Source organism: Homo sapiens, chromosome 3, assembly GCF_000001405.40.
Source record: "Homo sapiens chromosome 3, GRCh38.p14 Primary Assembly".
In the NCBI taxonomy this organism is placed as follows: domain Eukaryota; kingdom Metazoa; phylum Chordata; class Mammalia; order Primates; family Hominidae; genus Homo; species Homo sapiens.
Window position 1 is genome coordinate 50,149,163 of NC_000003.12, and position 12,582 is coordinate 50,161,744.

At 58.9% G+C, this 12,582-nt stretch overlaps 2 protein-coding genes and 1 long non-coding RNA gene across 13 annotated transcripts in view, besides 4 other annotated features; 2 read left to right on the top strand and 1 right to left on the bottom strand.

Moving 5' to 3' along the window:
- SEMA3F-AS1 (SEMA3F antisense RNA 1) overlaps positions 1-6,923 on the bottom strand; it is a 40,064-nt gene extending 33,141 nt beyond the window's left edge. The window contains exon 1 of the long non-coding RNA NR_135301.1: positions 6,572-6,923. This is a non-coding gene — a long non-coding RNA (SEMA3F antisense RNA 1). The remainder of the gene's footprint in view (positions 1-6,571) is intronic.
- Positions 1,486-2,157: an enhancer, noted in NCBI's record as "H3K4me1 hESC enhancer chr3:50188081-50188752 (GRCh37/hg19 assembly coordinates)". NCBI's record gives its function as "activates a minimal SCP1, AML or CMV promoter by ChIP-STARR-seq in naive H9 embryonic stem cells {active_cell/tissue: H9 hESC(naive)}" and the evidence as "EXISTENCE:reporter gene assay evidence [ECO:0000049][PMID:30033119]".
- Positions 5,437-5,496: a silencer, noted in NCBI's record as "silent region_14380". NCBI's record gives its function as "represses an Ori minimal core promoter by ATAC-STARR-seq in GM12878 lymphoblastoid cells {active_cell/tissue: GM12878}" and the evidence as "EXISTENCE:reporter gene assay evidence [ECO:0000049][PMID:35858748]".
- Positions 5,507-5,646: a silencer, noted in NCBI's record as "silent region_14381". NCBI's record gives its function as "represses an Ori minimal core promoter by ATAC-STARR-seq in GM12878 lymphoblastoid cells {active_cell/tissue: GM12878}" and the evidence as "EXISTENCE:reporter gene assay evidence [ECO:0000049][PMID:35858748]".
- Positions 5,508-6,627, top strand: LOC124909484 (basic proline-rich protein-like). Its single transcript, XM_047449434.1, has 2 exons — positions 5,508-5,534; positions 5,899-6,627. Exons 1-2 carry the CDS (start codon positions 5,508-5,510, stop codon positions 6,625-6,627), a joined length of 756 nt encoding a protein of 251 aa, XP_047305390.1.
- Positions 5,677-6,146: a silencer, noted in NCBI's record as "silent region_14382". NCBI's record gives its function as "represses an Ori minimal core promoter by ATAC-STARR-seq in GM12878 lymphoblastoid cells {active_cell/tissue: GM12878}" and the evidence as "EXISTENCE:reporter gene assay evidence [ECO:0000049][PMID:35858748]".
- Positions 5,896-12,582, top strand: part of SEMA3F (semaphorin 3F) — a 34,018-nt gene continuing 27,331 nt past the window's right edge. For 5 of the 11 annotated variants that reach the window (NM_004186.5, XM_005265382.5, XM_047448701.1 and 2 more), the window contains exons 1-2: positions 6,162-6,402; positions 10,413-10,572. In NM_004186.5, the coding sequence (NP_004177.3) occupies positions 10,461-10,572 (112 nt within the window). In that variant the 5' untranslated portion in view covers positions 6,162-6,402; positions 10,413-10,460. Of the gene's footprint in view, positions 6,682-9,856; positions 10,127-10,412; positions 10,573-12,582 lie in introns of those variants that run through there. The other 6 variants (XM_011533998.3, XM_047448700.1, XM_047448699.1 and 3 more) reach the window with 4 other exon arrangements.

Sequence of the window (12,582 nt, forward strand, 5' to 3'; positions counted from 1 at the left end):
GAGTAACTGGGATTGATTACAGGCGCAGGCCACCACATCTGGCTAATTTTTGTACTTTTTGGTAGAGATGGGGTTTCACCATATTGGCCCGGCTGGTCTTGAATTCCCGACCTCAAGTGATCTGCCCACCTCGGCCTCCCGAAGTGCTGGGATTACAGGCGTGAGCCATCGTGCATGGCCCAAGGATTTGGCTTTGACTCTCAATAAAGTAGGAGCCATGGAGAGCGATGAGTGAGAGAGGCGGGACCTGGCTTCCATCTTAACGAGGCTCCTCTGCTGGCCCAGGAGGCGAAAAGTGGCCACCTGATATTTCATGTGTTCTGAGGGTGAAATTTAACGTATTTGCTTGGCCAGGTGTGGAGGCTCATGCCTGTAATCCCAGCACTTTGGGAGGCTAAAGCAGGCAGATCACGAGGTCAGGAGATTTAGACCATCCTGGCCAACACAGGGAAACCCTGTCTCTACTAAAAATACAAAAAATTAGTCGGGTGTGGTGGCGGGCGCCTGTAGTCCCAGCTACTCGGGAGGCTGAGGCAGGAGAATGGTGTGAGCCCAGGAGGCAGAGCTTGCAGTGAGCTGAGATCGTGCCACTGCACTCCAGCCTGGGCCACAGAGTGAGACTCCATCTCAAAAAAAAAAAACCAAACAAACAAAAAAGTATTTGCTGATGGTTTGGGTGTAGATGAGAAAGAAAGGGTTCAGGCTGAAAGGACAGAGCCGCCCCTGCTGAGCTGAAGAAAGCTGAGAAGTTGCTAGTGTGGGCCCCCTGTTTGGGTTCCTGATGCAATGTTTATTCCACACAGGGAGGGGCTCCTCAGTCAAGTCCCCTCCCCCTTCACCCTTACCACTTTCATGGCTGGGGCTGCCTGATCATTACTGACCCAGGGCCTAGGTACCCAGAGACAAAACCCCTGCCAGTGCTTCCACCCAGACTCTTACTGGGGAGCCCTCGCCAGAACCAGATACAGACTGAGCTCTAGGCCCAGGACTGGGCTCCCCAGTGGGGGCTGGGTAGGCCCAAGGGAGTGAGGGATGGCTGTCTGGGCTCTGTCTAAACAGGATGTACTCAGGCTGGCCAACGGTCACAGGTCACTTCGAATCCAGCCGAGCTTAGGCCCACTCAACCCCACCTCTCTTACTATCCAACATACACACAGACACACACATGCATAGACACACAGAATGAAGGGTGTGGGGTAACAGGCAAGGATCTCAGTGCCCCGTGTCCCTTTCTCGCTCTGGACTCACATGGAAGCAGTTGCTGATAGATTCATGTGGGGCCCACTGGGAGAACACAGAAGGGTCTGGGTCCCCAGGGCAGGATCTTTTAATGTCTGAAAAGGGGTGTAGGACCTGCAGGGGCCCAGTGAAGCTCCTGACCCAGCCATGAGGACTGGCTTCCTAGGAGATGATGCCTGTCTGGATCTAGAAGGAGACAAGAAAGACATTCCAGGTACAGGGGAACAGCATGTGCCAAGGCCCAGAGGTGAGAGTCTAGAGCTCCTGGAAAAGGCTCGGGATGCCTGAGGGGCCCAGTGCAGAAGGATGAAGAAGGGATACTGAGCCTGTGCTGAAAAGGGCAGTGTTTATTGGTGAAAGAGGCAGCTAAGGGCCCACGTCTAGAGGAAACACAGGGTTTAGACTGGTGCTGAAGTCCGGGAAGAACATTTGTGGTAGAGGGAACAACAGCAGAGACGGCTTGGAGGCAGCTTTAGGGAGAGGCCAGGTCATTCCAGCTTTTGATCGGCTCAGAGCCAGCCCCTGGGGCAGGCTGGGCAGGAGAAGGCTGCACACGGAACCTCAGTGAGTCCCCATGGCCTGCCTCCTCCTGGTGCCACCCAACCGCCTGCCCCGAGCCCCCTCTCCAGCCCCCTTCCCAACACTCCCCCTCCCTGGGATCCAGTTCCTAGTGGGTGGGGGCTGGGCCAGAGAGCAGGCAACAGCGCCTGGGGCAGGGGAGATGAGAAAACCAGAAAGCGAGGAAACCTGAGCCAGCGACGCTGGGGCTGGGCGGGCCGGGGCCTGCTTGCCCTGCCAGGCCCAGGGAACAAGTTCCCCCCTAAGACTAGGGCAGGGGAGGAGGTGAGGGAGTGCTGGTGTGGCTGCCGCCCTCATCCAATGGGGATGGAGGGTCTCTGAGGCCCAGGCCCTCCAAGTCCAGCCTTCGTGTGCAGAGGCCAGGAGGGCAGGCCCCAGTGCACCTCCAGGCTTCCCTCTCCCCACCTGAGGTGAGCCACGGGGAGGCAGACAACAGGGACCTGCAGCAGGAGGCCGGAGGCTGCAGTTCAGTTCCCATGCATCCTGGAAGAGCCAAAAGGAAGAGAAACAGGCACAACCACCGCCAGAAACAAAGTCCAGGCCAGGGTGAAGGGCAGGGTGTATTTGCGGGAGGAAAGCTTCAAGGTTTTCCTGCCCGTTGCTGGCACCATCATCCAGGTGGGGGCTGGGCCAATGACTTCCCTGTTGTAACCCTCACTGTTGGCTCGGTCACCCCTCACAAGCTCCAGGACCTCAAGACTATGAAGTCCACCCTGAAGCTCAGCCAGGTCCACCCAGATCCGAGTGCAGTGTATCCCACGCAGCCGGGGCACACCTGGGAAGGAGGAGGAGGCTGCCCCAGGAGGGTATTCCAGAGGTGGATTCAGTGCAGGAGCTGGACCTGGCCTAACCAGCTGTGTCTGCACACACCCCTTCACCTGCGTGACCAGACTAGCACCAGGGCGGGCCATGGGGGAGGCTGAATGAAACTTAGGCCTAAGATCTGAGTGTCCTACCCAACAGGAGGGAGGTCAGGCCAGTAGGAAGCCAGCCTGTCTCTCTCCCTTCAGATGACGCCACAGGGCATCCTGGGTGGTTCTCAGGTGGAGTTAGAACAGCAGAGTGGCTTCTGGAGAGGAGGACAGAAGGATTGTGGGTGTCAAGGAGAGCACAGGGTGGGGGGCAGCCAGTCCAGAGGAGCTGAGAGTAGGGCAGGGAGTTGACTCCCTGAGTCTTGGCTTCTTGGCTGTGTTCCCTCTCCGATCTGGTGCTGCAGGGATTTGCTCTCTTATTTTTGCTCTCTTATTCACATGATAAAGATGCGTGGAGTTCCAGAAGTGCCCTGTGGGACTCCAGCAGGCATCCAGCTCCTGCGTGCCTATCAGGGTTGCAGGCCCTTGGCTCCATGTGGGCCCTGCAGCCTGGCCTTCCTGTCCTGGAGCTTTCCCACAGCCACTGAAAATGCCTTCTCCAGGCACCACAGCCTGGTGGCTCCAGGCCTCCCCCAACCCTCCCTACCTCCCCACTCTCCTCCCTCATGCTCAACTGTACAATGGGGACAACAGGGCCTGCTTCTCAGCCCAATTGTGAAGCACCTGGGGGTGAATAACCGCAAAACTTCCTGGCATGCAATGCCTCCCAACCTGGTATCCAGAGCTGGTTTTGAGGGGTCTGTGGACCTCTGAAATTGAAGACAAAATTGTGAAAAGCTATACAATATTCCCCTGAATAATATAATATACCTCGGAGATATGGCGGGTTTGGTTCCAGACCACCACAATAAAGCTAACATTGTAATAAAGCAACTCACAAATTTTTTTGGTTTCCCAGTGCATATAAAAGTCATGTTTACACTATACTGTAGTCTGTTAAGTGTGTGATAGCATTATGTCTAAAAAATGTACATATCTTAATTAAAAAATACTTTATTGCTAAAAAATGCTAATGAAGTGAGCACATGCTGTTGGAAAAATGGTGCTGATAGACTTGCTCGACACAGAGTTGCAACAAACCTTCAACTTCAGAAAACACAATATCTGCAAAACGCAATAAACCACAATAAAATGAGGTCTGCCGATATGTATATGCACACACACACACAAACTATAACAACATATTATGATGATACAAAATGCTCACCCCAGCACTGACACAGAGCAAGGGCTCAGTGTGGATTCACTGCTGCAATAACAATTTTTTTTGTATGATTATTCAGCCCTCTCGAATTGCTTAGGAAGGAATTGGCATTCCACCCCATGTAGCCAGGCTCAATTCTAGCTCTTTGCCCTCTTCCTGGCCCCCTTCCCTGGTCTCCCTGCCATTGAAGGCCTCTGTGTGCTGGGCCTATTCTGTGTGTCTGAGTGGAGCTTCATGAACAGATCAGTTGAGCCTCTTTCCTTCCCAACCCAGTACACTGGAGTCTCTGGCAAGTCCTGACAGCTCTTCCGTGGTAACCAGCATGATGCTAATGATGCTGGAGATAGTGATAGAAGTGGCCAGGCTATAAGGAGACCATGGAGGCTGTGAGAGGATGGAAGGGATGGTGTTGGAAGCCATAGAGATGGTGGCTTAAGCTGTATTGGTGATGGTGGTGCAGTGGTGGTGACCTCAGGGGTGACCCTCATACAGATGAGTGGGGATGAGGAGAGATGGATTGTCACAGTGTTTTCAATGAGGCGTGACAAAGGGGAGAGGTGCAGGTGCTGTCACAGCAGCTCCATAACTCCAGGATGGTGTTTGCTCACCTCAAATGCCCTGCCTGTGCTTGGAGCATGAGGCAGCACTCTAAGTCCTGAGTCAGGAGACCCTCAGCAGGATCCCTAGTGCCCAGCTCCACCTTGCACTTGGAGTCAACCAGTCAATGGGTCAGAGGGAGAGAGGTCTTTTCCTGGAGGTCTTGCTAGCCAGGGAGAGAAGTGGGAGGAGGAAGAAGGCGGAGAGGAGGAGTGAGAAGAAAAAGAGAAAGGAGGAAGAGGGTAAAGAGCAGGAAGAAGGAGGAGGAAGAAGAGAAGGAAATGCATGGGGTGGAGGAAGAGAAGGGAGAGGAGGAGAGGGCAGAGAAGGAAAAATCCAGGAGAAGAGAGGAGAAGGAGGAAAAGGAGGGAGATGGAAAAGAGGGAGAAGAGGAGAGAGGAAGAGGGAGAAGAGAGGGGAGAAGGAAGGAGAGGCAGAGGGAGAAGAGGAGAAAGGAAAGAGGAGAAAGAGGAGGGCACAGAAGACAGAACAGGAAGAGGATGAAGGAGAGGACAAAGGGCCAACGCCCCTGGGAGCCTCCGCAGGGTGCCCGGGGCAGGGCTGAGAAGTGGTCCTGGTGGTGAGGCCATGACCTTGGAAAGTTGGGTTGGGCAGAGGGTCCCTTCCTGGGGTCACGGTAGGCCCTTCTCAGTTGCTGAGCCATTGGCTCATCACCAGGCCATTTGAAAGCAAATGTCCCCTTGAGGAGAGAAGGTGCTAGCTGATCTGGCCTCTCTAAGGTATGGAACTATAAGGAGAGTCTGTGGGAGCTGCTGGCCTGAAATAAGGGCTGGCGATTGAGGCGATCACGGGGAGTCGTTGAATGGCTGGAGAGAGCTGTGTGGCTGGGCTGCCCCCGACCTGGCCTAGGCTGGAGGCTGAGCCCGCGGGAAGGTCCGGCGGTGCCAGCCGTCCCAGGGGCTGCACCGCCACCTGCTGAGCAGCCCGGGCAGTCAGGGGTCCTGCGCCGCGGGGCCCACGCACGGGACCAGGGGCACGGCCGGCGGCGAGTGGGAATGAGGGACGCGGAAGGGGGTGCTCAGGTGAGCGCAGGCTCGTTGCTCCCTGGCGCTGCAGCCCTTCTCGCCAGGGAGTTGAATGCCCGGGTAAACACCAGGCGCGATGTGTGCGGTGTATTCACAGAGAGACAAAGCCAGGGCGGGGCGGGGGCGCCGCCCGCGAAGCGGGGGCGGGGGCGAGGGGTGCAGACTAGTCTCCCCCGGCGCGGGGTGCCCACCGCCTGGGAACCCTGAGCCCGGCCCACGGACAGGTGGAGCGGGGGCGGGGCGGTGGCTGGGCGGGTCCCGCCCCGGGGGTGGGGCTGGGCGGGCCGGGCGGGGCGGGGCTGCGCTATGCAAATGTCGCCCACGGGCGGCCAATTGCCGGCGCTCCCCGCGCGGCTCTGAGCGCCCCGTCCCGCCGGCGGCCGCGAGACCAGAGCGAGCGAACGAACCGCGGCGGTCCGGAGAGCCCCGAGCGCAGCGCAGGACCTGGGTACGCCGCGAGGAACCGTGCAGCCCAGCGCGGCCGCCCGGCCCGGGTCCAGCAGCCAGGAGAGCGCAGCGCTTCGAAGCCGAGTGCGCGCCACCGCCCGCGCCCCGCGCTGGGGAATGCGCCCTCGGCGCGCCGGCCAGGGGGCGCCCGCAGCCCACCCCAGGGGAGGCGGCCCCGAGCGCCCCTGAGCCTTCCCATGGCCCGGGCTGGGGCCCGGGCCCTCGGCTGCTGACGCGCCCGAAGCCCGCGGAACCGGTTAAGCCGCGGCCGCGGCGCCGATCCCGGCTGAGGCGCAGCGGCGAGAGGTCGCGGGCAGGGCCATGGCCCCGGGGGGCCGCTAGCGCGGACCGGCCCAACGGGAGCCGCTCCGTGCCGCCGCCGCCGCCCGGGCGCCCAGGCCCCGCCGCTGCGGAAGAGGTGAGTGCAGCGGGAACCGGGAGGGAGCGGGCAGGCGGCCGGGCCACCCCGCGACCCCTCTGGGACCCGCGGCACTGCAACTCCGCAGAAGTGTCCGGGGAGCGGGTCTCGTCGAGCCGGGGGGCTGCCCGCGGACATAGGGGCAACAAGGCTGGGGTGGGATTCTTACCTGTCCTGGAGGCCCGGACCCCTTACCTACGGGGCGGCGTATGGATGTGTGGATGATGTGGCCTGCGGGGTCACCCATGTGCAAAGCAACTTTTTCCTGCAAGGTTCTGGGTGGGTGCTCTCATACACCCCCACCTTCACGCTTCTGGAGCGGGAGTTCCGATCCCCCTTCTGCCTCAGCTCTCTCTCCCATTAACGCCCGAGGCAGCGCTCTTCCCCGTAGATGCGCTTGCCCTACCTCAGTGTCTCTACTTGAGGACTGGCCAGCCCGAAGGGAAGCGGTATACTGGCAGTCCCCACGTGGGGGGTCTCCCACATCAGCAGAGTGGGAGGACCTCCAGTCCTGAGGCATTTCTCCCAGCATTGTGCCAGCCCCTTGACCCCCAGCTGCCACCTTGGGTTTGCTTTTACAGCAGAGTCCTGCCTGGATTAGGGGCACGGCTGTATGTAGTGTGTAGGTGAGCTTGGAGAGCCTGCGGTCAATCCCTAGTTTGAACCAGGGGTCCCAGTGGTGAAGTGGGCAGGGGACAGCGGGGGCTTGGCGGGGTTGCCCCCAGCAGATGGGACAGGAGGGTATCAAAGTTGGCCTAGGAATGAGGCAGTGCTGGCGGGAGTTGGCTGGAGCTGGGGCTGGGGGCCCCACTGGATAAATAACTCCTAATTTTTGAGATAGCTGTGTTTTGCCACCAGAACATTACTGCTTGGGAGAGGTAAGGGAGACGCCAACCAAAGACACCAGTATGTCCACCCTGAAGCTGGGCCAGGTTGGGGACCTCTGTCCTCCTGAATTCACCCAGATAGTCTCCCAGTAGTTATCCTAGTTGCAGAGAAGGGAAAACTGCACCCAGGGGTTGGGAGCCCCATCTCAGCCCAGGGAGTTGGATGGAGCTGAGGCCTCTTCCCAGGCTACCCAAGGGGTGTGCCAGGACCCCGTAGGGTATAGTGTCTAGGCAGGCGGGGGGCACAGGCATGCCTACTCCTGCTGCTCCCCCTTCAGCTCCGAAGGAGCCAGGCCCGGAAGTGGGGAGGTGGGGGCCGGAGAGAAAGCAGGGGCCAGAGAGAAGGCGGCAGCCCACCCAGCCTCAGCCCCTCGCTGCTCAGCATACCTTGGGGGGAGGATGGAGCCAGGCTCAGGTGACCTTGACTGGGAAACCCTGGCCACAAAAGGGGGGTTTCAGTCCCAGCTATGCTGGGGTGGCTCTGCTTCCTGGTCCTTGAGGTGTTGGGGGATGGGGAAGCTGAGGAGCCAAGAAGGAGACAGAGCTCTTGTTGAAGTGGGGGAGGGAATCTGAGGGGCTGGGTAGCGGGTGGGGTGCTGTTGATAATCTCCCCATGTTCCCCTACGGCCCCTGTTCCTGCCTCCCTTCCATCCAGGCAGTCCTCAGCTCGGAGGAGCCAACCTCCCTTCCTGGAGACAGGCTGTCCACCCCCACCCCCAACTCCAAGCCTGGGCGGTCTGGATCCGGCTGTACAGTTTGGCCACCTGGCCCCCTGTCCCATCCCAGGTGCCTCCGGACTCCTTCCTCTGGCCGCCTCTTCCCTGCACCCCTTGCCAGCCCCGGCTCCTCGTTTCTTTGTTCAAGCGTCTCTCCTCCGTCCCTCCCTCTCTCCTCCCTCTCTCCTCCTCCCTCCCGCCTGCCTCCCTCCCTTGCTCCCTCCCACCAGCCTTCCTTCCCTCCTTCTCTGCTTTCTTCCTGGTGGGCTCCCAGGTGGCGGTGGCTGTTCTTCCTCTGTCCACTGACCTGGGCTTGGTGTGACTTGGGGGCTTTTCTGGGGCTGGGGCTGGGTGACAGGCATCTCGGGACTGGCAGAGGGGAAGGCACTGTGGGTTTGCCCTTTCTTTCCCTCTCTGTCCTTCTTCTCCTTTTCTTCCTTCCCTCTCCTTCTTTCCCCCACCTGCCAGGCTGTCCAAGAGGGGACCTGGACTTGAGACTGAGGCCCCAGCAAACTTGAGCCCCTCCCCATTCACCTCTTTAAAAGGCCAAAGCATTTGGATGGGAAGTCCCTGTAGGGACCCAGTAGAAAGACTCCCCACCTCTCTGGACACATTGGGTGACTCCAACCCTGTCCTTGGTGACACTGACTTTGTCACCATGAACATGGATGAAGGAAAAAATGAGGTCATGGGGAGGGGGGAGGCGGGAGGCAGGTTGACAGGAGCCCCCGTTACATAGTATCGAAGCTCTCTGAGGGACTCAGACGGCATCTTGCGCCAGGACAGTATCTCCCAGCTCCCCTGAGCCCCACCCCACTAGCAGGTCAAGTTCTTGAGCAAACTCATGCTTGTAAGGACGTGTGTGGGCCTGCAAGTGTGAACGTGTGCATATCCACAGCTGTTATCAGGGGCCTCCCAGGTGCACCTTGAGGGTGACGGTGGCTGCACAGCCATTTCTCCCACCTGCCCCCACTTCTCAGAGCCTGCCATTCAGTCAGCACTAGCTTTGTGCCTCCCAGACCTGAGGAGGGGCTGGTTCTGATTCCCCCATCCCCCAGCTAGCCTCCCCAGGAGGCAGCATCTATGACAGGGGATCTGGAAGGACCATGAGCGGTGTGCCAGGCCCTCGGGAGAGAACATTCACACAGAGGGTACCGCGTAAGGAGTGGGCCAAGAGGCTGAAGCTGCACTTCCTGTCTGAGGAGCCATGAGTGGTTTGCCTTGGCAGGAGAGGCCAGGGCTGGGGGAGGTGGGTCTAGGGATGTCATCAGGGTCTAATGAGTGGGGCCTAAGAGTCAGACTGGAGCCTGGGCTTTGCCTCAGCATTGAGCAGCTATGGCAGGGGAGTCCCAGGCCATAGTACTGCCAACTCCCATCCCAGCATCCTAGAGATGGGCCTGGGGTCCTGCCTGCCACGGAAGAAGGGAGTACACAGGGCAGATCTGGGGGATGGGGCTCACATTTTCAGTCTCGATGCCCCCACCCGCAGTGCATCCGGTTGGGGGTGGTGGTAGGAGTTGGCGCTGGTTTGTGCCGGGAGGGAGCAATATGTTCTGACAACTGGTGCTGGGCTGCGTTTACCCAACAGCCAGCCTGCCTGGGGAGACAATATTTGAAAAACACAGTATTGAAACTTGGACCTGCTGGGGCTATGGGGGATTCTGAAGGTGGCAATGCCGCTGGCCCAGATCCAGCCCCAGGCCCACTGGCCATCCTAGCTTCCCTTCTTTGCCCTCTAGAGGCGGAGCTGGAAGTTTTCCCTGGCAGGAAGTCCTTCTGCCTGTCTGACCTGGGTCTCTCCTGCTTTGATTTTAGTACAAGTGGACTCTGCCATTCTCTGCCTTTCCTTTTCTGACTGGTGCTCCCTCTCTTCCATCTTGGGCTGTCTGCATGTGTCTCATTCCCCCACTCTCTCCTGTGCCTCCCCTCTACCGTAATAATCAGGTCCAGGTTTCTCTGTACTGGGAGAAGACCTGTGGCTGGAGCAGGCAGGGATGCACCCTATCTGTTCCCCATTCCTCCAGGTGGGAGGGAGAAGGAGTAACCCACTTTATTGGCCACAGATGCAGGGGAGAAAGGAGAAAGCATGCTGGGAGCTGGAAAGAGCCCTAAGATCACCTGGTTGGTCTGGGCCCTGTGAATGGAATTCAGCATGCCATGAGGGGTAGGGTTTGAGTCTCCAGCAGCCCCCATCAGTTCTGGTGACCCCAGGCTGGGGCCTATTGGTACTATCTCCCCAGACAAAGGCAGGCCAAAGAACGCACATGAGGTGTGCACACAGGGGCATTCATGGCCCCAGGCTGGGGGTGGAAGCGTGGAGGTACCCATCAACCTCTTTGTTCACCTTGGGTAGAAATTGAACTCCCCCATCTGCCTCACACATTCCAATCTTGGTTCCCCTTCCCAGGTTTCTAGAGAGTGGAGCCTGCTTCCTGGGCCCTAGGCCCCTCCCACAATGCTTGTCGCCGGTCTTCTTCTCTGGGCTTCCCTACTGACCGGGGCCTGGCCATCCTTCCCCACCCAGGACCACCTCCCGGCCACGCCCCGGGTCCGGCTCTCATTCAAAGGTAAGAAGCTGTTTTGTTCTTCCCCAGAAATCATCCTCTCTTTACAATAGCGCTCGGCTCCTCTGCACACGAGAGAAAGGGTGGGTCAGGACAAAACCAGGACAAATTGTACAGCCACATAGGTTGTGGGGGAGAAGGGAGACCGGGGAGGTGGTGGCTTGCTGGGAAAGGCTGGAGAACTGACCCATTTAGACACTTAGCAAAAGAGTCCAGAGTCTGGGCATCTTCCAGAGTCAGACTGTGGGTTCCTGGGCTGGGTGGCCTGAGGTCTGTAGGGCATGTCTTTCTGTATGATAATTGGAGAGGTGGCAATGTCACTCCTTCCAAACTTATGTCTGCTGCGGCCCCTCCTTGCCACTGCTATGCATCTGGTCCTGCCCTGAGCAGCCCCTGGGGTGGAAGGTCAGGCAGTTGGGCAGACACTGGAACCTCTGGACACTGGAAGAGCAGGACCTGCTCTCTTGGGGTGTGGGTGCTCGAGGAGCCTTCCTATGGTCTCCAAGTGGGAAGGGTTCCTAGAATCCAGGAGGGGACTGTTGGCTGTGACTGGCAGGGAGGCCGCCGGTGGGTTCAGGCAGAGCACGTGCTGCTGTGAGGGCCTGAGCTCCTGAGCTCCAGTGAGCACTTTGATGAGAAGTCACTGGGAGGTTTCAGTGATGGGCTGGGGTCTGCAGAGTGAGAGGCTGGTCGCCCGCTCCATCACCATTGCACTTAACCCACTGGACAGGTGCACGCACACGGTACACACATGGGTGTACAAATGGCTCACTCGAGAGCCACTTCCTCAAGGGTGTGTGTGGTCTGAAGAGTCTCCCCTGGGCCCAGGGTGAGGGGCAGTGGCCATGCTGGGGCCTGGGGGACCTGGGGTCATTGGGAGTTCTCAGCCTTGGCCCTCCTCTGGCCAGAGGTAACTTCATCCAGCCGCCTGCCCTGGGTGGGGTCGACTCAGCCCTGGCTGGCCAGATTTCCGGGCAGCCATACTGGGGTGAAAGGCTGGGGTGACCTTTCCTTCCTCGGGCTTGGCGGAGGCCCAGCCCTCACCTCACCATGTCCCCCAGCAGGGCCCCTCCCCTGGCCTCGTCCCACCCTGCCCCTTGATGGGAGGAGTAGGGGAGTAAGCTGCTTATCATCACTCTTCCCAGTCACCCGGCTCCTGGAATTTCTGAGGCTGTGCCTGGAAGGAGTCCCCTGCAGGGCCTGAGAAATGGGCTGAGAAGAGTTAATTTGTTTGGGCTGGAAAGCACCCCCCTTCCCCGGGCCCCAGGAAGGTGAGATATTTATTCTGCTGATACCTCCACCCTTCCCTGGTGGAATTCTTCAGAGCAGATTAATAAATCTTGAAGGGGCCAGTTCCCCCAAACCCCTCCCCAGCCCAGGGTCTGGCAGCGAGAGTAGAGTGTCTCCTCCCCCGATAGTGGAAGGGAGGGGTGGCTTGGTCTCCACACCCCTGGGACCTTGCGTCCGCTCTGGGTGTTGTTTTTGTCATCATGCATGCAAGTAAGCAGGAGGGGCAAAACAGAGAGGGGTCTTCCGTGTGCTCCTTCTAAGCCTCCCTGGACCTCCAGGGGCAAAGAGTTTTGTTCCTGTTTTCCAGAGAGAGAAACTGAGGCTCAGGCAAGGGCAGGGTCAAGGTCAGGCAAGAGGCAGAGGCAAAGCCAGAAATAGAACCCTGGTGTCCTGGCCTTGCCGGCGCCCACATCGCGTCAGGTCGATTCCCTCTCAATTAGCTCTGAAGCCGACACCCGCAGTGACTAAAAGCTGAGCTCACTGGCAGCCAGCCTGGGTGTTGCCGGTTGTGGCGGCCTGGGGTGGGGCTGCAGCGCACCTGGGGCCACCCATCCCAGGGCTCCTGTGCCTTTGCACAGGCAGGTTCCCCTGCCCTGAATGACCTTCCCTGTTCCGACCTGGTCTCGTGTCCTAATTTTGTGCTTAGACTTCACTTACTACTGTATGACAGGCCCCGTGCTGAGTGCTGGGGACTCTGTGGTGAACAAGATAGGGTGCTCACAG